Source organism: Homo sapiens, chromosome 12 (assembly GCF_000001405.40).
Source record: "Homo sapiens chromosome 12, GRCh38.p14 Primary Assembly".
Lineage (NCBI taxonomy): Eukaryota > Metazoa > Chordata > Mammalia > Primates > Hominidae > Homo > Homo sapiens.
Genome location: NC_000012.12, coordinates 908,179 through 930,963, shown reverse-complemented (window position 1 = coordinate 930,963; position 22,785 = coordinate 908,179). Strand labels below are relative to the sequence as shown.

At 45.2% G+C, this 22,785-nt stretch overlaps 2 protein-coding genes across 75 annotated transcripts in view, besides 4 other annotated features; one reads left to right on the top strand and one right to left on the bottom strand.

Annotated features, from left to right (window-relative positions):
• The window catches only part of RAD52 (RAD52 DNA repair protein), a 79,387-nt gene extending 60,159 nt beyond the window's left edge, over positions 1-19,228 (top strand). For 9 of the 24 annotated variants that reach the window (XM_017019769.2, XM_005253720.6, NM_001297419.1 and 6 more), the window contains 9 exons: positions 820-913; positions 1,078-1,145; positions 3,701-3,819; positions 5,439-5,514; positions 14,144-14,325; positions 14,481-14,620; positions 16,432-16,533; positions 16,843-17,070; positions 17,512-19,228. In XM_017019769.2, coding sequence (XP_016875258.1) covers positions 820-913; positions 1,078-1,145; positions 3,701-3,819; positions 5,439-5,514; positions 14,144-14,325; positions 14,481-14,620; positions 16,432-16,533; positions 16,843-17,070; positions 17,512-17,573 — 1,071 coding nt within the window. In that variant the 3' untranslated portion in view covers positions 17,574-19,228. Of the gene's footprint in view, positions 1-819; positions 914-1,077; positions 1,201-3,700; positions 3,820-4,017; positions 4,169-5,438; positions 5,515-14,143; positions 14,326-14,428; positions 14,759-16,431; positions 17,071-17,511 lie in introns of those variants that run through there. The other 15 variants (XM_047429285.1, XM_017019770.2, XM_047429284.1 and 12 more) reach the window with 11 other exon arrangements.
• Positions 15,511-16,011: an enhancer, noted in NCBI's record as "H3K27ac hESC enhancer chr12:1024119-1024619 (GRCh37/hg19 assembly coordinates)". NCBI's record gives its function as "activates a minimal SCP1, AML or CMV promoter by ChIP-STARR-seq in primed H9 embryonic stem cells {active_cell/tissue: H9 hESC(primed)}" and the evidence as "EXISTENCE:reporter gene assay evidence [ECO:0000049][PMID:30033119]".
• Positions 15,511-17,118: a biological region, named in NCBI's record as "P300/CBP strongly-dependent group 1 enhancer GRCh37_chr12:1023012-1024211".
• Positions 15,919-17,118: an enhancer, noted in NCBI's record as "P300/CBP strongly-dependent group 1 enhancer chr12:1023012-1024211 (GRCh37/hg19 assembly coordinates)". NCBI's record gives its function as "activates an origin of replication core promoter dependent on BRD2, BRD4, P300/CBP, MED14 and CDK7 cofactors, with strong dependence on P300/CBP, by STARR-seq in HCT116 cells {active_cell/tissue: HCT116}" and the evidence as "EXISTENCE:reporter gene assay evidence [ECO:0000049][PMID:35650434]".
• Positions 16,012-16,512: an enhancer, noted in NCBI's record as "H3K27ac hESC enhancer chr12:1023618-1024118 (GRCh37/hg19 assembly coordinates)". NCBI's record gives its function as "activates a minimal SCP1, AML or CMV promoter by ChIP-STARR-seq in primed H9 embryonic stem cells {active_cell/tissue: H9 hESC(primed)}" and the evidence as "EXISTENCE:reporter gene assay evidence [ECO:0000049][PMID:30033119]".
• WNK1 (WNK lysine deficient protein kinase 1) overlaps positions 19,512-22,785 on the bottom strand; it is a 158,874-nt gene continuing 155,600 nt past the window's right edge. For all 51 annotated transcript variants that reach the window (NM_213655.5, XM_011520997.4, XM_011521000.3 and 48 more), the window contains one exon: positions 19,512-22,489. In NM_213655.5, coding sequence (NP_998820.3) covers positions 22,172-22,489 — 318 coding nt within the window. In that variant the 3' untranslated portion in view covers positions 19,512-22,171. The remainder of the gene's footprint in view (positions 22,490-22,785) is intronic.

Here is a 22,785-nt window from a genome sequence, read left to right as displayed (position 1 = left end):
GGTCTTGCTCTGTCACCTAGGCTGGAGTCCGACCAGTGGTGTCATCTCAGCTCACTGCAGCCTCCACCTCCCAGGCTCAAGCGATCCTCCTGCCTCAGCTTCCTGACTAGCTGGGACTACAGGCACACGCCACCACACCTGGTTAATTTTTTAATGTTCTGTAGAGACGACATCTCGCCATGTTGCCCAGGCTGATCTCGAACTGCTGGGCTCAAGTGATCCTCCCACCTCGGCCTCCCAAAGTGCTGGGATTACAGGTGTGGGCCACCATGCCCAGCCTTTACACCATTAAAAAAAAAATGTTCCTTTTGCCATTTGCTTTTTTTTTTTAATTAAACACTTTTTAAAGAACTTATGATTGACACATAATAATTGCATATCATTTGCTTCTAATTTTAACTTCTGTGTATATTTTTGGTCTTCCATAAAATATGTCAAACAGATTTGTACTTTTTGCAAACTGAATTTTAGCAACTGCTGGGTGAGTTCCTCCTCCCAACAGACCATTCGTTCTCGCGGGCTCCATCTAGAAGATTTTTGAAATAAATTCATTGAGAATTTTCTTGAAAAAAAAATTTTTTTTAACAGACTGGTTCTCACTCTGTCACTTAGGCTGGAGTGCAGTGGCACGATCCTAGCTTACTGCAGCCTTGAGCTCCTGGGCTCAAGTGATCCTCCCACCTCAGCCTCCCGAGAAGAATGTTTAAGGACAGTTTATCGAAAAAAGTAGATGAGGAATAAATTATGTCAATTTTGATTCACATTTAAGTGTGGTAAGGAATTAACACAGCTTTTCCTTAAAAACATTTGTTTTTCTAGGTGTGCTACATTGAGGGTCATCGGGTAATTAATCTGGCCAATGAGATGTTTGGTTACAATGGCTGGGCACACTCCATCACGCAGCAGAATGTGGGTGAGTATGCTCTCCAGCAGTGGGGACTTCTGCACTGTCCAGCTCCTGCTGAAAGTCTGCTGTGGGTGAGGAGGTAAGGTAGGTGGACTCAGCTGCCAGCAGGAGGAATGGTTGTGGCCCAGCGGTCAGTGTCCTCTTCAACTTGCTCTCTTTCCCACTCCTAGATTTTGTTGACCTCAACAATGGCAAGTTCTACGTGGGAGTCTGTGCATTTGTGAGGGTCCAGCTGAAGGTGAGGGGATGGAGTAGACCTGCTGCCCGGAAGGATCAGTGGGTGGTAGGAGAAGGTGAGCAGGTAGGGAAGTAGGTAGCTGGACGGGGACCCAGGCTCCAGAGTTGTGTCTCAGCCAGCGTTCCCTAGAGTGGTGGAATTCAAATACTCTTGCTCATGTGCTCCCTAAAAGAATGGAAAAACTGTTCTCTTGCACATGTTCAAGCTGACACCTAAAAGTTTTCACCATATATAAAAATTGTTGCAAAGGATGTATTTTTTGGCATATGGTAAAATCTGACATTTTAAAATACAATAATTTTACCATCACTGATAAGTGTTTGGAAACTCAACTTTAGGCAAAGCAGGTCCTTTTGTTATAACATTGATGAAAACAAAAATATGTTTTGTTAATAAGTTGTTTCACTTCAAGTCACAGTTATTTAAGGTGTTAAGTGAGCACTTACCGTAAATCTGTTGAATCTTGTTAAATATTCCAGTGGACTCTAAATACTATAGAGGATAAGATCTATCATTTATTTGAAGAAATACAATGAACAAGCTTTTTTTTAATCATTAGAAATTTTACATTGTTCTTTCTTTATCTGAACTCATATTTCTATTCTATTTCCCCACTGGTTTTAATCCTAATACATATTTATGGTTGAAAGTTTGGCTAGGCGGGGTGGCTCATTCGTGTAACCCCAGCACTTTGGGAGGCCCAGGTGGAAGGACTGCTTGAGCCCAGGGATTTGAGACCAGCCTGGGCAACATAGCGAAAGCCCGTCTCTACTAAAAATACAAAAAATTAGCTGGGCATGGTGGTGTATGCTTGTAGTCCTAGCTACTCAAGAGGCTGAGGTGGGAGGATCACCTGAGCCCAGGAAGTCGAGGCTGTGGTGAGCTGTGATTGCGCCACTGAACTCCTGGGTGGAAAAAAAGAAAAGTTTTATCGGTAGCCTTACTGTGCTTCTCTGCCTTTGCCTGTGTATAAAAATAAAAATTTTTGGTAAATTTTCAGTGCACTTAAGGCTCTAAATATTAAAATATTTCTTTTGGATTTAGTTATATTATAGCTACTGTTAACACACAATTGACCAGACAATTGTGTTTATGGTGAAGAGAAAACATAAATACAGCAAAATTTTGATACTTAGAAAAATTAAAGATATGAAATCTTGCCACAAAAATAAAAAATTTAAAATATAAAATTTATGGAAAATGTATATCTTAATGAGATGGATGGTGCTGTTTTTTCTTTTCAGTTAGTTTATATATCCATATATCCATAACTGAATATTACTTACTTCTTTTTTTTTTTTGAGATGGAGTTTTGCTCTTGTTGCCCAGGCTGGAGGGCAATGGTTCAATCTCAGCTCACCGCAACCTCCACCTCCTGGGTTCAAGCGATTCTCCTGCCTCAGCCTCCCAAGTAGCTGGGATTACAGGCATGCGCCACCCCGCCCGCCTAATTTTTTGTGTGTGTTTTCAGTAGAGACGCGGTTTCTCCATGTTGGTCAGGCTGGTCTGGAACTCACAACCTCAGGTGATCCACCCGCCTTGGCCTCCAAAAGTGCTGGGATTACAGGCGTGAGCCACCGCACCCGGCCTACTTATTTCTTGAATGAACAATTCAGCATTAATTCTATTCTGACTTATTTTTCTAAATAGTACTAAAAAATCTTGTATCTATGAGTGAGTAGCTGAGAATGGAAAGAATTGTGTTATAGTGTCACTCATTTATTTGAGTGCTTTCTGAGTTATTTTTTAAAAATCACAGAGCGCTGTCATCAAACATTGTATTTAATTCTCAATCAGCGAATGATGTGCTCAGGTCCACCTTCTCTTTTGGTGAGAGGCAGGAGCTGGACGCCACCTGATTTACAAAGGGTTTGCTCTCCCGTCCTTACAGACCATTAGATCCAGTGTTCAAATCATCCCTTTGTTTCATATCCCAGAGGTTTTTTTTTTTCCAAGACGTAGTCTCACTCTATCACCCAGGCTGGAGTGCAGTGGTGCAATCTCGGCTCACTGCAACCTCTGCCTCCCAGGTTCAAGTGATTCTCCTGCCTCAGTCTCCTGAGTAGCTGGGATTACAGGTGCCCACCACCACACCCGGCTAATTTTTGTATTTTTAGTAGAGATAGGGTTTCACCATGTTGACCAGGCTGGTCTTGAACTCCTGACCTCAAGTGATCCACCTCCCTTGACCTCCCAAAGGGCTGGGATTACAGCGTGAGCCACCACGCCCGGCCCGGCCATCCCAGAGGTTTTTTTTACCTTAGGGTGATGCACACTGATAGGATTTGGGGTGAGTTTCTAATGTGCCCTTTGTGTGTTGGGAAGTTGGGAAGGGAGGATCGTCTTGACACCTTGACCGCAGGCACATGTCCAGGCAGCCCAGGTCTAGGAAGCAGCACTCGCGATGGATTCTCACCCAGCCTTCTGCCCGTGCCCCTGTAGCAAGGCCGCCAGGTGGGAGAGTCCGGCTTTGAACCCTGCTGCTTGAGGAACAGGGGAGTTGTGGCACGCCTGCCGCTCTCGTGTTTGAGTTCAAACTCCTTTTCTGCCCCCAGGATGGTTCATATCATGAAGATGTTGGTTATGGTGTTAGTGAGGGCCTCAAGTCCAAGGCTTTATCTTTGGAGAAGGCAAGGAAGGAGGCGGTGACAGACGGGCTGAAGCGAGCCCTCAGGTGAGCGCGGGGCTGGGAGTCTAACCTGCGTCATTTCAGCTCTTGCTTCAGAGCAGATTTCGATTTTTTTTGGAAGAGGTAACACATCCACATGGTTCAAAAATCCAAGCAGCGTGGAAGGTAATTCTCACCCCTGCCCTGGTTCCTGTCTGCCGTTTTCCCACTTTCGTTAGTATTTTTTCAATGTTTCTGTTTCAGGCTTCCCTTGCTGGGAGTAAGTGGTAGAATCCTGTACTCTCTCTTCTCCGTGCACTCAGTCATGTGTGCCGGAGGCCTTCCCACTCCTACTGCGAGTGCACAGACAGCACCCTCCTCTCCGTGCTCCTCAGCAGTCCTCCGCTACGCACAGGTAGCATAGTTAACGTAGTTACACAGTCACGCAGATGTCCGTGTTAGTCCATTTATGTTGCTATACAGGAATACCAGAGGCTGGGTAATTTATAAATAAAGGAGGTTTGATTGGCTTATGATTCTGTGGACTGTACTGGAAGCCTGGTGCCAGCATCCACTTCTGCTGAGGCCTCAGGAAGCTTCTAATCATGGCAGAAGGTGAAGAGGGAACGTGGAGAGAGAGGGAGCAAGAGAGAGAAGGAAGGAGTCCCAGGCTTATTTATTTATTTTATTGTTGTTTTTCATTTTTTGAGACAGGGTCTTGCTCTGTTGCACAGGCTGGGGTGCAGTGGTGCCGTCATCGCTCAGTGCAGCCTTGAACTCCTGGGCTGAAGTGATCTTCCCGCCTCAGCCTCCCGAGTAGCTGGGATCACAGGCACATAACACCACCCCCAGTTAATTAAAAAAAAATTTTTTTTTTTTTGGAGAGACAGGGTCTCCCTTTGTTGCCTAGGCTGGTCTCAAACTCCTGGGCTCAAGTCATCCTCCTGCCTTGTGCCTCCCAAAGTGCCGGGATCACAGGCATGAGCCATCATGCCCAGCCCCCACACTCAAAACCACCAGATCTCTCATGAGCTGAGTGAGAACTCACTCAACACCAAGGGGATGGCACTAAGCTGTTTATGAGGAATCCAGCCCCAGGATCCAGTACCTCCCACCAGGCCGCACCCCCCGGCATTGGAGGTCACGTTTCAACATGAAATTTGGAGGGGATAAACATCCAAACCATATCCGTGTCTTTGAGAATTGAAGTGAATTGAACCAGAAAAACCTATGAGTTCTGTGGGGGAGTCCGTAGATCCCAAGTTAAGAACTCTGGTCATGGGAGGTTGTGCCCTTGAGCCCCCGGTCCCCAAGTGTGTGTTGCCTACTCCTGCTGGGAAATTGGAGCAGCCTTTGGGGGGAAAAAAAAGAAAAACTCTCTGCAGTTTGTTCTCCATGTCAGGAGGTGGCTGGTGGGTTTTGTGAATGGCGCCGTAATCTTTTCATACTCATCTTCTCTGTGAGGGCAGGGACTTGTGTCTTGTCCTCACTGCAGTATTCTCAGAAACTAACACAGTGCAGGAACATGCTAGATGCTTACCAGACATCAATGGGGAATGCATGTTAGGGTCCACTTCCTCTGCTGCTCCTGAGAAGCAACCTGTACAAAAGTTGTAATTCTATTCTCTGATATTCATGTGTAACAATTCTTAACCCTGTTTCACCTTTTTTTCTCTTGCCCTTAGGAGTTTTGGGAATGCACTTGGAAACTGTATTCTGGACAAAGACTACCTGAGATCACTAAATAAGCTTCCACGCCAGGTATATCAGACATGGATGAGTGGAGTGAAGATAATGCGGCAAACTCTTGTGTGTCATGGGTTGAGTATTTGGAGGATGCAAGGAGAAAAAGTGAGGACTCAGCTCTTTAGAGGGTCGGGAATGTTGATTTCAGATTTCGAATGTTAGAGACAGCAGGAACTAATCCCAACATTTTCCTTTTTTCTAAAGTACATCATGTGGGCCGGGGACCGTGGCTCACGCCTGGAATCCCAGCACTTTGGGAGGTGGAGGCAGGTGGATCACAAGGTCAGGAGATCGAGACCATCCTGGCTAACACGGTGAAACCCTGTCTCTACTAAAAATACAAAAAATTAGCCGGGCGAGGTGGTGGGCGCCTGTAGTCCCAGCTACTCGGGAGGCTGAGGCAGGAGAATGGCGTGAACCCGGGAGGCAGAGCTTGCAGTGAGCCGAGATGGCACCACTGCACTCCAACCTGGGCGACAGAGCCAGACTCCGTCTCCAAAAAAAAAAAAAAAAAAAATCACACCATTTGACAAGAATGTGAGGTCTAGAGAATTTGTGTACGTGTAGGTAGTGAACTGTGGTTGGGGGTAGTCTGTGAAGCCTCAAAGCAAGCACACAGCCCTCTGCAGCACCACTGTCCTTCCCAGACACTCCCAGCCTCGCTGTTGAGCCTTCTTTCTTTTCCTTAGTTCTGGTGTCATTACATGTCTGATGTCATTACAATGTCATTTACATGTCCATTATTTCTGTCAATACCTATAACGTGATCTGAGCCTTTGCCTTTGGAGAATGGGGTCTGTGGTGGGGCAGCCCTGGAGTCACACTGCCTTGCCATGAGTGGCTTCTGGAGTGTTCCTCCTGCCTCATCTGCTCTCCGAGGTCCCTGCCATGTCGCTCCCCAGGGCAGCATTCCCATCCTGTGCCTGAGGGATTCTTGTCCTCATGGAGCCCCACAAGGTGTGTGTCACTGGGCATCTGTAAAAACTCCTTTAAAAAAATCATTTTTAAACATTATTGGATTCAGTTTGCTAATATTTTGTTAGACTTTTTTTTTTGAGACGGAGTCTCGCTCTGTCGCCCAGGCTGAAGTGCAGTGGTGTGATCTTGGCTCACTGCAACCTCTGCCTCCTGGGTTCCAGCGATGCTCCTGCCTCAGCCTCCTGAGTAGCTGGGATTACAGGTGTGTACCACCACGCCTGGCTAATTTTTGTATTTTTTTAGTAGAGACGGGGTTTCACCATCTTGGTCAGGCTGGTCTCGAATTCCTGACCTCATGATTCGCCTGCCTCGGCCTCCCAAAGTGCTGAGATTACAGGCGTGAGCCCCCGCGCCCGGCCTTTGTTAGGCATTTTTGCATCTATGTTTATGAGAGATATTAGTCAAGTTTTCTTTTTCTTTTTTTTTTTTTGAGATAGTCTCACTCTGTCGCCCAGGCTGGAGTGCAGTAGTGTGATCTCAGCTCACTGCAACCTCTGCCTCCCGGGTTCATGCCATTCTCCTGCCTCAGCCTCCCAAGTCGCTGGGACTACAGGTGCCAGCCACCACCATGCCCAGCTAATTTTTTTATTTTTAGTAGATGGGGTTTCGTCCTGTTGGCCAGGCTGGTCTTGAACTCCTGACCTCAAGTAATCCGCCTGCCTCGGCCTCCGAAAGTTTTGGGATGACAGGCGTGAGCCACCGCACCCGGCCTTTTCTTTTTTTAAATTGTAGTAAAACACATCACATTTTAACTATTTTTAGTGTGTGGTCGAGTAGTGTTAAGTGTATTCCCATTGTTGTGAAATTGATCTGCAGAACTAAGACCCTGCACCCGTAAAACAAGAACTCCGCATTTCCCCCTTTCCCAGACCCTTGTAACTACTTCCACTTTCTTTCCTTTTTTTTTTTTTTTAATTTATTTTATGAAAGATGAGGTCTTGCTCTGTCAGCCAGGCTGGAATGCAGGAGTGCCATCATAATTCACTGCATCCTTGCACTCCTGGGCCCAAGGGATCCTCCTGGATCCTCCTGCCTCAGCCTCTCAGGTGGCTGGGACTACAGGTATGTGCCAGTGCACCTAGCTAATTTATTTTTTAAACAATTATTACTATTTTTTTTGTAGAGACAGAATTTCTCAGGGCTGGTCATGAACTGCTGGGCTCATGTGATCCTCCTGCCTCGGCCTCCCAAAGCGCTGGGATTGCAGCGTGGGCCACTGTACCTGGAGCCAGCTAATTAACTTTTTTTGGGGGCTTTTTTTTTTAAGAGGTGAGTTCTTGCTATGTTGCTGAGGCTGGTCTTGATCTTTTTTTCTTTTTTAAAAAATTAGGTTAGGCGCTGTGGCTCCTGCCTATAATCCTAGCACTTTGGGAGGCCGAGGTGGTTAGATCACTTGAGCCTAGGAGTTTGAGACCACCCTGGCCAACATGGTGAAACCCTGTCTCTACTAAAAAATACAAAAATCAGCTGGGCATGGTGGTCAGCCTGCCTGTAATCCCGGTGGTCAGCCTGCCTGTAATCCCAGCTCTTCTGGAGGCTGAGGCATGAGAATCGCTTGAACCTGGGAGGTGGAGGCTGCAGTGAGCCAAGATTGCACTACTGCACTCCAGCCTGGGAGACAGAGTGAGATTCTGTCTCAAAATAATAATAATAAAATATAAAAATAAAATACTTTTTTGTGTGTGGTCATGGAGTTTTGCTATTGCCCAGGCTAGTCTCAAACTCCTGGCTACAAGCGATCCTCCCACTCAGCCTCCTTAAGTGCTGAGATTATAGGTATATGTGTCTACTTTCTGTTTCTGTGAATTTGTCTACTCTGGATACCTCATATAAATGGAATCACATAATTTTTGCTTTTTGTGACTGGCTTATTTCACTTAGCTAGCATTAATGCCTTTAAGATTCATCCATGTAGTAGTGTGTATCAGAATTCCCTTCTTTTTGTGGCTGAATATTCTGTTGTATATATAGACCACATTTTGTTTATGCATTCATTTGGTGATGGGGATTTGGGTTGCTTTCAACCTCTTGGCTATTGTGAATAATGCTGCTATGAACGAGGGTGTGTAACTCTCTTTGAGATCTTGCTTTCAATTCTTTTAGACATATTCTGAAGGGGATTGCTGGGTCATGGTAATCCTATTTTTAATTTTTCGAGGAGCTGCCACACTGATTTTCATACAGTTGCCCCATTTTACCATTCCACCAACAGGGCACATGAGTTCAGATTTTTCTAAATCCTAACCAGCACTTGTTATTTTCTGAGTTTTTGGTTTTTTTTTTTTTTTTTTTTTTAAGCCAACCTAATGGGCGTGATATTTTATTGGGGTTATGATTTGCATACCCCTGATGATTAGTGATGTTGACCATATTTTCTTTTTTGAGACAGAATCTCACTCTGTTACCCAGGCTGGAGTGCAGTGGCACAATCTTGGTTCACTGCAACCTCTGCCTCTGGGTTCAAACAATTCTCCTGTCTCAGCCTCCCAAGTAGCTGGGACTATAGGCGCCTGCCACCATGCCGGGCTAATTTTTGTATTTTTAGTAGAGATGGGGTTTCACCATGTTGGTCAGGCTGGTCTCGAACTCCTGACCTCAGGTGATCCGCCCGCCTTGGCCTCCCAAAGTGATGGGATTACAGGTGTGAGCCCCCGCACCCAGCCAACCATATTTTCATATGCTTGTTGGCCATCTGTTTATCGTCTTTGGAGAGATGTCTATTCAAGTCCTTTGTCATTTTATTTTGTTTTATTATTTTAATTTAATTTCTTTTATTCATCTCATCTCATCTCATCTCATGACAAGATCTCGCCCTGTCACCCAGGCTGGAATGCAGTGGTCTGATCATGGCTTGGCTCCCTGGAGCCTCGACATCCTGGGCTTGAGTGATCCTCCCACGCAGGCTGGAGGGCAGTCGTGTGATCTCGGCTCACTGCAGCCTCTATATCCCAGACTCAAATGATCCTCCTGCCTTAGCCTCCCAAGTAGCTGGGACTACAGGCATTTGCCACCATGCCAGGCTAATTTTTTTATTTTTTGTACAGAATACAAAAAATTTTACCGTGTTGCCCAGGCTGGTCTCAAACTCCTGGCCTCAAGTGATCCACCTGCCTTGGCCTCCCAAAATGCTGGGATAACAGGCGTGAGAAACCCATATGGCCCAACTCCTACTTTTATTGAGCTTTTTCGTATTGTTTTTGTATTCTCTCTTTCACTTATGTTTGCTGTCATCTTTTTAGAATTTCCTTTCTTCTAGCTTTGGGTGTAACTTTTTTTTTCTAGTTCTTTGAGGTATAGCGTAGATTTGAGATCTTTTTTTTTTAACTATGTGTGTAACTTCCCTCTTACGACTTCTTTCCCTGCACCCCAGAAGTTTGGTAGGTTGTGTTGTAGTATCATTTGTCTCTGGGAATTCTTCTAAGTTGGCTTGTTACATTTCCTTTGACTTTAAGAGTGTGGTGTTTAATTTCTACTGATTTGTGGATTTTCCAGTTTTCTTTTTGCTGTTGATTTCTAGTTTCATTCCATTGTGATTGAAAAGATACTTTATATGATTTCAATCTTGAATTTGTTAGGACTTGTTTTGTGGCCTAACATGTAGTCTGTCTTGGAGAATGTTCCATGTGTACTTGAGAAGAATGTATTTTCTGCTATTGGTGGGTGGAATGTTATGTATATGACTGTTAGGTCCAGTTGGCCTATAGTATTGTTCAAATACTCTATCGCCTTATTCATCTTTTGTTTGGTTGTTTTATCTATTATTGAAAGTTGAGTAGTGAAGTCTCCTACTATTATTGTGTTGCTTTTATTTCACCTTACAATCCTCTCAAAGTTTGCTTCATATATTTAGGACCTCTGGTGTTTGGTGCATAAATATTTATAATTGTTATATCTTCTTGGTGAATTGACATTCTTTTTTTTTTTTTTGAGACGGAGTCTCACTCTGTCGCCCAGGCTGGAGTGCAGTGGCGGTGCGATCTCAGCTCACTGCAGGCTCTGCCTCCTGGGTTCACACCATTCTCCTGCCTCAGCCTCCTGAGTAGCTGGGACTACAGGCGCCCGCCACCTACGCCCGGCTAATTTTTTGTATTTTTAGTAGAGACGGGGTTTCACCATGTTAGCCAGGATGGTCTCGATATCCTGACCTCGTGATCTGCCCACCTCGGCCTCCCAAAATGCTGGGATTATAGGTGTGAGCCACTGCACCTGGCTGACATTCTTATCATTATATAATACTCTCGTCTCCTATAACAATTTTTTTTTTTTTTTTGAGACGGAGTCTTGCTCTGCCGCCCAGGCTAGAGTGCAGTGGTGCGATCTTGGCTCACTGCATCCTTTGCCTCCTGGGTTCAAGCAGTTCTCCTGCCTCAGCCTCCTGAGTAGCTGGAACTACAGGTGCGTGCTACCATGCCCGGCTAATTTTTTTTTTTTTTGAGACAGAGTTTTTGCTCTTGTTGCCCAGGCTGGGGTGCAATTGTGTGATCTCGGCTCACTGCCATCTCTGCCTCCCAGGTTCAGGCAATTCTTCTACCTCAGCCTCCCAACTAGCTAGGACTACAGGTGTGTGCCACCACACCCAGCTAATTTTTTGTATTTTGTAGAGAGGGGGTTTCACCATGTTGGTCAGGCTGATCTTGGACTCTTAACCTCAGATGATCCGCCCACCTCGGCCTCCCAAGGTGTTGGGATTACAGGCGTGAGCCACCACGCTGAGCCCAGATTTTTTTTTTTTTTTTTAGACAGAGTCTTGCTCTGTCGCCCAGGCTGGAGTGCAGTGGCGCTATCTTGGCTCACTGCAACCTCCGCCTCCCGGGTTCAAGCGATTCTCGTGCCTCAGCCTCCTGAGTAGCTGGGACTACAGGCGCCCACCACCACACCCAACTAATGTTTCGTATTTTTTAGTAGAGCGGGGTTTTGCTGTGTTGGCCAGGCTGGTCTCAAACTCCTGGGCTCAAGTGATCAATCCACCTGCCTTGGCCTCCCAAAGTTCTGGGATTACAGGTGTGAGCCACTGAGCCTGGCCCCAAATTTCTCTTTTTTTGTTGTTGAGACGGAATTTCACTCTTGTCACCGAGGCTGGAGTGCAATGTTGTGATCACTGCAACCTCTGCCTCGTGGGTTCAAGCGATTCTCCAGCCTCAGCCTCCCAAGTAACTGGGATTACAGGCGCCCGCCACCATGCCCGGCTAATTTTTATACTTTTAGTAGAAATGGGGTTTCGCCATGTTGGCCAGGGTGATCTCAAACTCCTGACCTCAAGTGATCCACCTGCCTCAGCCTCCCAAAGTGTTGGGATTACAGGCATGAGCCACCATTTCCTAAGTGAGCACAGCTGTTCACCTCCCAGATAGAGAATCAGACCTTTACCAGCAGCCCAGAAGCCCCATTTTGCCCTCTTCCAGTCACTGCCTTGCTTTCCTTTTTTCAAAAGTAACTACTATCCTGTCTTCTATTCTGACTTCCATGGATTATTTTTTCCTGTTTTTGAACTTTATATATGTAAAGTTCACAAATGGAATTGTACTGTAAGTGGAATTGTACAGTTCATATTTTAAGAAAATTGACCGAAGTATGAAAAAGAACATATAGACAGGTTAGACGAGTGCACGTATCATCCATGCTCAGCTTGATGAATTTTCCAACCAAACACATCCACACAGCCAACATCTGAATCAAGACACTGCCAGTACCGAGAAGGCCCAGCTGTGTTCCTTGCAGTCACTGCCATCCCCTGCCCTCCTTCCCACTCTGAGCAAACCGCTTTTAACAACACAGATTGGCCGGGTGTGGTGGCTCACTCCTGTAATCCCACCACTTGAGAGGCCAAGGAAGAAGGATTGCTTGAGCCCAAGAGTTGGAGACCAGCCAGGACAACATAGTGGGACCCTGTCTGTACGAAATAAAAATAAAAATAAAAATAAAAATTAGCTGGGCCTGGTGGTGGCGCCTGTAGTCCCAGCTGCTTGGGAGGCTGGGCTGGGAGAATCATTTGAGCCTAGGAGGCCCAGGCTGCAGTGAGCTGTGATTACGCCACTGCACTCCAGCCTGGGCCACAGAGCGAGACCCTCTCTCAAAAAACAAAACAAAAAACAAAGAAAGCCACCAATTTGTTTTTATTGTTATGTACTTTTTTGGAATCCTACAGTTTGAACTCTTTGTATCTTACTTGAATTCAGCATGGTTGTGAGATTCATTCATGGTACGAGCAGCAGTTTCATTGCTGTATAATTTTCTTTTGCATGAGTATGTGGCAATTTATTTTTCTAGTCTTTTCTTAGTAGACATTTTGGTTTTTGTAGCTTGTGGCTGTTTCGATTAGAGATGCTGTTAGCATTCTTTTGCTGTACAGTTGCACTCATTTTTGTTGGGAATTATTGGGGGAGAAGATAGGTACGTGTTTAGTTTTAGTAGGTTCTTCCCGTTTTCCTGTATGGTTGTATTAATTCACACCCCACGTGGCATTGCGTAAGTTCCAATTGTTCTGTATCTTTGACAGCACTTGGTATCGCCAGTCTTTCATATTTTTCAAAGCTCGTTTCTTTTTTTTGAGACACAGTCTTGCTCTGTCGCCCAGGCTGGAGTGCGGTGGTGCGATCTCCGCCCACTGCAACCTCTGTCTCCCAGGTTTAAGTGATTCTCCCTGCCTCAGCCTCCCGAGTAGCTGGGATTGTTGGTGTGTGCCACCATGCCCAGCTAATTTTTTTTTTTTTTTTTTTGTATTTTTAGTAGAGACAGGCTGTTACTCAGGAGTTCCTTCGATTTTTTTTTTTTGTATTTTTGTATTTTTGCCATTTTGGCCAGGCTGGTCTTGAACCCCTGGACTCAAGTGATCTGCTTCGGCTTGCCAAAGTGCTGGGATTACAGGCATGAGTCAACGTGCCTGGCCAAAGCTCATTTCTTTTTAAACTACTCATTTATCTTTCAATGTAGACATGAAATCTGCACTATAATTTTCATTTTCAGGTCAAAATGTAATCATCTTAATCCCTCATATTCAAACAATTATTCCATCAGCATCAGTTTTATGAATTGAGAGATGTTTTCCCAAGTAAAAATGTTCTGGATTTCTGTAGGAATCCGTGTGGAAATGAAACCATTTGCCCTGTGCCACGCAGCACAGGACTGTCCCTTCTCATGTTGATGAGATGCAGAGCAGCCCCGTTCTGGAAGATTCCTTGCAGCCTTGGCTGGCAGCCGGCGTCCGTGCCTCCCAAGGGTTCTTCCCTCTGTCGTTTGAAGGGTTCTTCGTGATGCCACAGCGTGCCCGAGGCTCCCTCAGTGACGAGCGCGATTTGCAGGGGTGGCCCTGGCAGAAAGGGTTGGGAAGGTACAGACCTCCACAGAGACTGTGTGTGCTCATTTCCGTGGAAAAAGGACAAGGAGGCAGCAAAGACAGACCCAGCAGCCCAGGAAAGATTCAAATGCGATTTTACAGAACATCTGCCCTAAGTCAAAACCAAAGAAGGATTCCTTTTTATCAAAACTTCACTAACACAGAACATGAAATTGTTTGGCTCCTCCTGCTCATGGAGTTACAGGACCTAGAAGGCGTGATGGATGGAGGATGTCAAATGCGATTTTCCAGGAATCGCAATCTGTGAGTCAGGGAGAAGCAGCGGAGGGCAAGAGCCAGTTGAAGGAATTTGTTTTTCTTCTTTCCTTCTAGTTGCCTCTTGAAGTGGATTTAACTAAAGCGAAGAGACAAGATCTTGAACCGTCTGTGGAGGAGGCAAGATACAACAGCTGCCGACCGAACATGGCCCTGGGACACCCACAGCTGCAGCAGGTGACCTCCCCTTCCAGACCCAGCCATGCTGTGATACCGGCGGACCAGGACTGCAGCTCCCGGTATGCGGCCTAAGTCCCCTCCTTTCCTCTGCGGCCCCTCCTGTGTCACGGGGCTGCCTCCACTCAGGCCTCCAGAGCCAGCCAGCCGTGCGTGTCCTCCCAGCAGCCGCGGCTGTTGCTCAGGAGCCCGTCCTCGCCGCCGCCCTCTCATGCAGAAGCCTGAGCTCATCCGCCGTGGAGAGCGAGGCCACGCACCAGCGGAAGCTCCGGCAGAAGCAGCTGCAGCAGCAGTTCCGGGAGCGGATGGAGAAGCAGCAGGTTCGAGTCTCCACGCCGTCAGCTGAGAAGAGTGAGGGTGAGCGAGGGGTGGGAGCAGGGCCCTGGGAGGCGTCTGCAGGAGGAAGTGTAGCCGCAGGGTCTTCTGATTCTCTGCGGTAACCCTGGGCCGGCTCCAAACCAGGCCTCGCTGGGACTTCTCTCAAGCTACACGCAGGAGAGATGAGCCCAGGAAATTCAGATATTTAAATCTGCTGTACATTTTCCCGTTTCTAAAGACAATGATTTCTTTTTTCCCCCGTGGAACTAAGTGGGCCTTGATAAAATCTTCTAGAATTAGAAATTTCAGGGTAAAGAACTTTTTTTTGCTTCGAATGCTTTGGCCATCTCTACATTAGAAAGCCTTGGCCGGGCACGGTGGCTCATGTCCGTAATCCCAGCACTTTGGGAGGCCAAGGTGGGCGGATCACGTGAGGTCAGGAGTTTGAGACCAGCCTGGCCATCATGGCGAAACCCCGTCTCTATTAAAAATACATAAAAATTAGCCAGGTGTGGTGGTGCATGCCTGTGGTCCCCCCTACTCGGGAGGCTGAGGCAGAATTGCTTGAATCCAGAAGGCAGAGGTTGCAGTGAACCAAGATCGTGCCACTGCACTCCAGCCTGGGCAACAGAGTGAGACCCTGTCTCAAAACAAAAACAAAACAAAAAAAAAACAAGCCTTGTGTTTCTGAGATATCTTCGAATACAAGGCAAAATTGGGATTGAGAATAACGGGAACTTTTGGCAGATTATTTATCAACTTTAGTTTATTTCAGAGTCCAGATTGAGTGGGAATAGTGATACAGATGCCTTCTTTCTTTCTTCTCTGTCTCCCCACCTGTTCTCTCCTGCCCATCCAGCGGTAGGTAGTCCTTACTCAGAGAGTGGAAACAGAGAAAGGGCTTGTCTCAGACCCATCGAGCTTTTGCCCAGTTTTTCCCTACAAATTGTGAAGCAGATTCACAGAGGACTTGCTTCATGGTTGGTTCATTCATATGCCCCTCAGCACCGACAGGCTGAAATTAACATAAAAACCAAAACAGAACCACTTCCTGTCCTGTGGATATCCTTACTGTTGAGTTATTGCAGGTGTTTAGCTTCTTAACCATTGCAGAAGCTCCCGGGTAGATTGTGGAGGAAGCTGCCCTCCAGGCCTTTCCTGCCCCTTGGCAGACAACCCGAGCCATTGTTATTTTAATCCATTTCACACATCAGATTTTGGCTGAAGATTTTGTTTGTTGGTTTGTTTTCAGACAGGGTCTTGCTCTGTCACCCAGCCTGGAGTGCAGTGGCGGGATCAGGGTTCACTGCAGCTTTGACCTTCCTGAGCTCAAGTGATCCTCCTTCCTCAGCCTCCTGAGTGGCTGGGACTACAAGTGCATGCTACCACACCCGCTGATATTTTATTTTTTGTAGAGGTGGCGTCTCGAATTCCTGGTTTCAAGCGATCCTCCCACCTTGGCCTCCCAAAGTGCTGGGGTTACAGGTGTGAGCCACTGTGCCTGGTCAGATTTTAGTTTAAGATTTTGTTTGAGCAAGGGTTATGGCTGTTAACAAGCGAGCCAGACACTGGATTAGATGGCCTGTGAGAAACCTTTTACTTTTGCTGTGAAAGGAGAAAGAAACTTGTTTTTCCCACTGGTGAGAAGAATTCAAACCACAGACAGATCTGTAGGTAGGACTGGGACTCGGGAAGCTGAAGTTCTTTTTACTGGCAGAAGCAGCGCAGCCCTAAGCGGTGTTGTGCTTCGGAGAGTGTTCCCTCTAACAAGAGGGGAGTGGACCCACGCTCTGAAATCCCATGCAGTGATGTGATGATGACTTGTCCTTTCTCTCCTCTGTGAACCGTAGCAGCGCCTCCGGCCCCTCCTGTGACGCACAGCACTCCTGTAACTGTCTCAGAACCACTCCTGGAGAAAGACTTCCTTGCAGGAGTGACTCAAGAATTAATCAGTAAATACCTTGAAATGCTTGTAAGCTACTGTGCTGTATGTTTCTAGTAGCCACAGAATACCTTTTAGGCGACATAAAAATCCTCATTTTCGTGTGGTTTTGTTGAGGGGGTTCTGGCTGATAGCATATGTCCAGTTCCTCTTTGGTCCTAACCAAAGGGAAGTGTACTTTTAGGGGGAGGGGAGAGAAATTCCAAAAACTTTCAGAAGGTACTGAAGACATGGAATTTCTGAGGGCCAGTTTTTCCAGTGCTTTCTGTGAGAATACTTCATTATTTGCTGATGACGCACTTTTCCTTGACCTCTGTAGAGACTCTTGAAGACAACTCTGAAAAGTGGGCTGTGACTCCCGATGCAGGGGATGGTGTGGTCAAGCCCTCGTCTAGAGCAGACCCAGCCCAGACCTCTGACACATTAGCCTTGAACAACCAGATGGTGACCCAGAACAGGACTCCACACAGCGTTTGCCACCAGAAACCACAAGCAAAATCTGGATCTTGGGACCTCCAAACTTATAGCGCTGACCAACGCACAACAGGTAGCAGAGAGGTGTTTAGGCACAAAAATTAAGGGGAGATCCTAGCTTTAATTCTGGGAATTTTTGAGGAAGGATGACATTTCATTTAAAGTTTGATAGAATCGGGAACTTCTATTAGGGAATGGTACTGCAAGTAGAACAGAATTGATTTAAGAGCCAGAACGTTTCCTTTGGGCTCCTGACTTCAGGTGCAGCCCTTTTCAGCTCCTGATAATAGCAGGAAGCGGAAACGACTGCATGGAGAGCTGTCCCTCCCAGCAGCAGGTCTGTCATGAGCACGAGGCCACTTGGTCTAGGAGAATCATCTGCCTTCCTCCTAACAGTAATTCTCATTCTTGGGCTTAGTCTAAATTAGGATCATTAATATAATCCAGAAATCATTAGCTGTCAGTTTATTTTAAAATTATGGCAGCTACATTTAAGCCATTTTGTCTTCCATAGGAAACTGGGAATCTCATAGGAAGAGCCAGGACATGAAGAAAAGGAAATATGATCCATCTTAACTGAGGCTCAGGCCACATAATTGGACTCTGTCACAAAGGGACTTTGGAAAACTACTTTTTGGTCATGAAATTGTTCATCGCTGCTGGAGAATGAACGTCATTGCGATTTATCTTGCTTCATTCTGAACCTTATCAAGAGGATCTGACTGAGAGCCCACTGCAGTTAGAGCTGAGCACTTTTGAAAAGCTTGTCCATCACTCTAGTAGGGAGAGGCTCTGGACAGATGAATACCTTTTCTTCGGCTTGTGAGGCTTCCCACTATTTATTACTGAACTATTATGTTAATGAAGATGGACATTTTAGGAATCACCAATGGCTCCTTGCCCTCAAGCAATATAGGCCAGACTTGGTCCTAAGCACCTGCCTCAGCAATTGTCTACATTCAGTTGTTTTGCATAACGTCTGCCTTCTTTCCTTTACGGTCCATGCCTTTAATGTTGCCCACATTAAGCACTGTGGATCACGACAGGAAAAAGGTTGGAGCAGTGCTTTTCACTACTTTGTATCAATCCAGGCTACAATCTTCATTTAATATAAATAATTTATGGATTTATGACATTACAATCCTGCATTGTTTCAAGACTGACATTTTTTCCTAAGGAAGGAAATAATCATCTAAGACCACGAAAAAAGGCTGTTTTTTGTTTTTTTTTTTTTTTTTTTTTTTGAGACGGGGTCTGGCTGTGTTGCCCTGACTGGAGTTCAGTGGTGCAAACACAGCTCTCTCCACAACCTCTTGGGCCCAAGTGATACTCCCACCTCTGCCTTACAAAATACAGGGATTACTGGTGTGAGCCACTGTGTCTGGCCAGAAAAGGCATTTTTGAGAAAGCAAATCGTATACCTTATTAACAAAATAGAATATATATATATTGCTTATCTGAAATGCTTGAAACCAGAATTGTTTTGCATTTTTTGAATATTTGTATACACATAATGAGACCTTGGGGATGGGACCCAAGTCTGAACGTGGAATTCACCTGTGTTTCGTGTATATGCCTCATACACATAATTTTGTGCATGAAACAGAGTTTTTGTATAAGAAGATACACTGCAGCTGAAGAGGGCTGGGTTTTTTTTTCTCTTAGGGTCGCTGCATAAACTGTTGTATGCCTGGTGCTTTGCGACTTGTCACACGAGGTCACGTGTGGAATTTTCCACTTCTGGCATCACGTCAGTGCTCAGAAATTTTCTGATCTCAGAGCATTTCAATTAGGGATGCTCAAACGCAACTGTTTCTACTTCCCCATTTCAGGTGTGAGATGTAACCCACCTTGACCATAAATTGGCTTTTCATAGTGCTCAGATGTTTCATAATTCTTCCCCCAAAATAATGAAGTTTGCAGTTTAACAACTTTTTTTTTGAGAGGGGGGGTCTGGCTCTGTAGCGCAGGCTGGAGTGCAGCGGTGCCATCTTGACTCATTGCAGCCTCCGCCTGCCAGGATTCAAGCAATTCTCCTGCCTCAGGCTCCCGAGTAGCTGGGATTACAGACACCCACCACGACGCCCGACTAATTTTTGTATTTTTAGTAGAGGAGACGGGGTTTCTCCATGTTGGCCAGGCTGGTCTCAAACTGACCTCAAGTGATCTGCCCACCTCGGCCTCCCAAAGTAAAAAGTACTAGAATTATAGGCATGAGCCATTGCGCCCAGCCAATTTAATAATTTTTTTAGACGTATTATTTTGGGCTGGGCTGTGGCTAATCTTGAAGCAGTGACTTCCTATTTTTTGGCTCAGACCCATTTGGGAAGCTGTGAACCTGAGATAAGGAAGTCTGAAAGTACTAGCCGGCAGCCGACCGTTTCTATTCCTTTCGAAGTTAAGGAGACAGCAAAGGAGCTCCCAGGAATTAGGGATCCAGTTATAAATTGCACTTAACTCAAAATAGTGCCAGTGAGAATGTGAAGGAATCTTCTGGAAATGAAACCCCACAGCTCAACAAAAGCAAGTTTGGTTTATTTGAATGGTTTCATTAAATAAGTCTACAAAGGTAACAAACTGAAGCACAAAGCGCAATCTTACAAGAAGCGCAACACCCAGAGTTAGTGCAAAATGTACAATTAACGGCTGCTGAGAAACCCCCAAAGTTTGAATTTTTATTTTTATTTTTAACAGTGTACATTGTTAAATAATGTAAGGAAAACATTTATAATTCAGAAAGTTTTTAATGTGGAAAAAGATACTCAAAGTGTACTATTAACACAAAAATAATTTAAACAGTTCAGTAGCACTAGTTCATTCCTCTAGGCTTGTTATTTCATACACAGGAGGATGAAATCAACAGTAAATAACACCAGTTCTGACTTTTTTTGTGTATGAGTGAAAAGATGTCAAAATTATTATTAAACCCAAATAACAAATGATAATGTGCTGCATGAGGCTCCACTGCTCCTCTGGTATAAAGTATGTTTCACTCTTGGGTGGCCCCTTTCTCAGCTACTCAGCCCCTTGTTGGTTCTATCCTTACTCTCTCCACAAGAAATACAAGCAGAGAATAAATAAATCATTTTAAAGCAGGGGTGGAAGCCCTTGCCCTTTTCCTTTCTACCTTTTAAAAACCTTCAGCTCTCATTTGCATATTTAGGGCCGTAGACCAACTTACTTACTTACTAAGGGAAGCAGGGCCCTTAAGGAATGAACAGGGTACAGGAGCCTCCAGCCTCTTTCTGTGGTAGTGGTGGTGGTGGTGGTGATTCCCAGAATATGCCATTGACGTGGGTAAAAGGTTGGAAATATTTTCAGTTTCCCAACTAAGAGTCAAGAAGCACCCCAAAATTAAGAGTCCTAGCTTCTTTCTTTGTCTTCAGAGATAACAAAGATCCTAAACATAGCCAGTTAGGACAGTATTTCCGGAAAGCTCTGAAAATAATTAATAACTACCCATTACAAGGAGGCATAGCACTGAATAACACTGATTGGTTGCAGTTATTACTTACGGGGAGTATTATTTATTTGAAAATGTGAACATATTAGTTGTACTTCTAGAAATAAAGGTGGCACAATAGATTATGATCCTGCAACCATTTGGACATCATAAAGGAAATGAGTAGGAATAAGTATTCTTTCCTAGAATGATTAATTCAGATGTGGAAAGATAGATAGATTAACTTTCCACAAAATGTAGTACCCCAAGCTGAGAAATGCATGGTACATGTGCAACAAGAGGAAAGCAATCCAAACAGTTTTTCTGAGAGCAATTTTCTCCATCTGTGACTTTTCACTATCAGGTTCCCCAACTTGAAAACTAGCCCCCCACCCCCTTCTCTTTATGTTCAGTTTCTTCTAGGTCACGTCTGTTCAAGCCTAGCTCAAATAAGAAAGGTTTATATGACAGTCACTGGCCAGGCATCACGTTTGTTTCCTCATTCTTTAGTCTTTGTCTTTCACCCAGCACACACCATTCTTTTAAGTTGTCCAATTTTGTTACAACACCCCCTCCTCACTATTCCCGAAACAGAACTTTCTGTTTTTAACCACTGATGCCAACCTAACTTCCCACCCTACTCATCTTACACCTGCTCTAGACAAAGTTGTTGAATGACTTAAAAAAATACTTTTTCAATTTCCCTTTGGCATAACCACTGCTGGACTGCTGGGGTCACATGGACCTACGATTTCCTTCCACATGCCCTTTATTGATCTGGGGTCTGGTAAGTTGATGCTAATGGCAGAAGCAATAGAAGTCCAAGGCACTAAAATGTCCAGCAAGCAACACTGGGAAACAGAAGTATTCAAGTACAGTAATTTATACAATTTTACATTCACATTTATTTATCTAATACAATGGAAATACAAAGGAAAAAGTTAAAGTGTCTCAATAAGTAAAGGACAGAGCTAGCTTTTTTTGGAACTTTTTAAACGTTTCATATTTTACTCTTAAAACTACTGTTGTCCAACAACATTTTATATATCACAGTGTTTCCACATCAAAACTGATGGCAAAGTTACATGTCCGCAGGGAACTTAATTTTTTTTTTTTCCTAATTGCTAATGCTGCAGTCAAAGCTGCTAATATCTTTTGCTTAAAGCACTAATGACCTATCATAAGAAAGAGTTGCACCCCAGTACCCTGGTATTTTTCACTGGGTTCTAAAGAGCAAAGAAAAAATAAAAAAGAGAGGGGTAAAAAAAAGGGAGGAGGGCAGGGTAGGAGAGAGCCCAGTAGGTGGTTTTTGTCCTGTGGTTCGGATTCTTGAGGGAGTGAGGGATTCAGGGCATGTACCAAAAGCAAGAGCTCCACCCACTCGAAATTACAGATGGGTTTGATTTTACATTGAGTTCTCCAGCTTCCTTATGAACAAGACTTTCCTAGCCCTCATCCTCATTACTGAGTATAGATAAACAGGAAAGCATGGTCTGAAGCTGCCCCTTGACAAAAAAGCTGTTCTTTCCTTCCTCTCCCATTCCAATAACTGGAGCGGGGGAGACTCTCCATTCTGAGGGCTCAATGCAGTATTAAAAACATTCCCCTCTGGCAAGAAATAACCAGTTAAATGCAGCACTAGTAGTTAGTATATAGGCTACTTCCCACCCCCACCCACCCCCTCAGCATTCCATCTCCTGCCCCCAGATCTATTCAGTTAATGTCTCTAGGTCTAAGTGGTCCGCAGGTTGGAGCCTGGGGGGTTGCTGATGGATTTCTGCAAATTGCTGATGTTGAAATTCTGCAAGGAGGCAGTTCCCACAGGTTGGAACTGGCCAAGTGGCTGTGGTGCTGGGCCACCCGTCCCACTCCATTGAGCGCCAAATGGGGTAGCTGGAAAGCCATACTGCTGTGGGGGGCACATAGACTTGGTGAAGTGACCTAGAGAGGTAGCTGATGCTGCAGAGATGGGGGCAGAGCCACCCAGGTTCGAGGTCATGGAGATGCACAGTTGCCCAGGTGCAGAGAACTTCCTTGCCATTCCAGGGCCCTGAAAACAAAACCACCACGTGTCAAGTCTGGTGTGGGCCATGGTATAAAATGTGTGGCGCTAACATATACTTCTAGTATAATCCTGTAAGATACAGCAGAACAGTCTTCTGTAGTATTTATTGGCTCTTTATATTTACCAAGTAAGGGTGAAAATAATCCTCATGAGAGGGAGGGATGTCATGTGCGTGTGTGTCTGTGTGTGTGTAGTTGAGGATGACGAAGGAAAAACGAAGAAGAAAAAGTTGAGCTGACCAACAAGAGGTTAGGAATTCAGGGAAGGAAAAATAAAAGGGT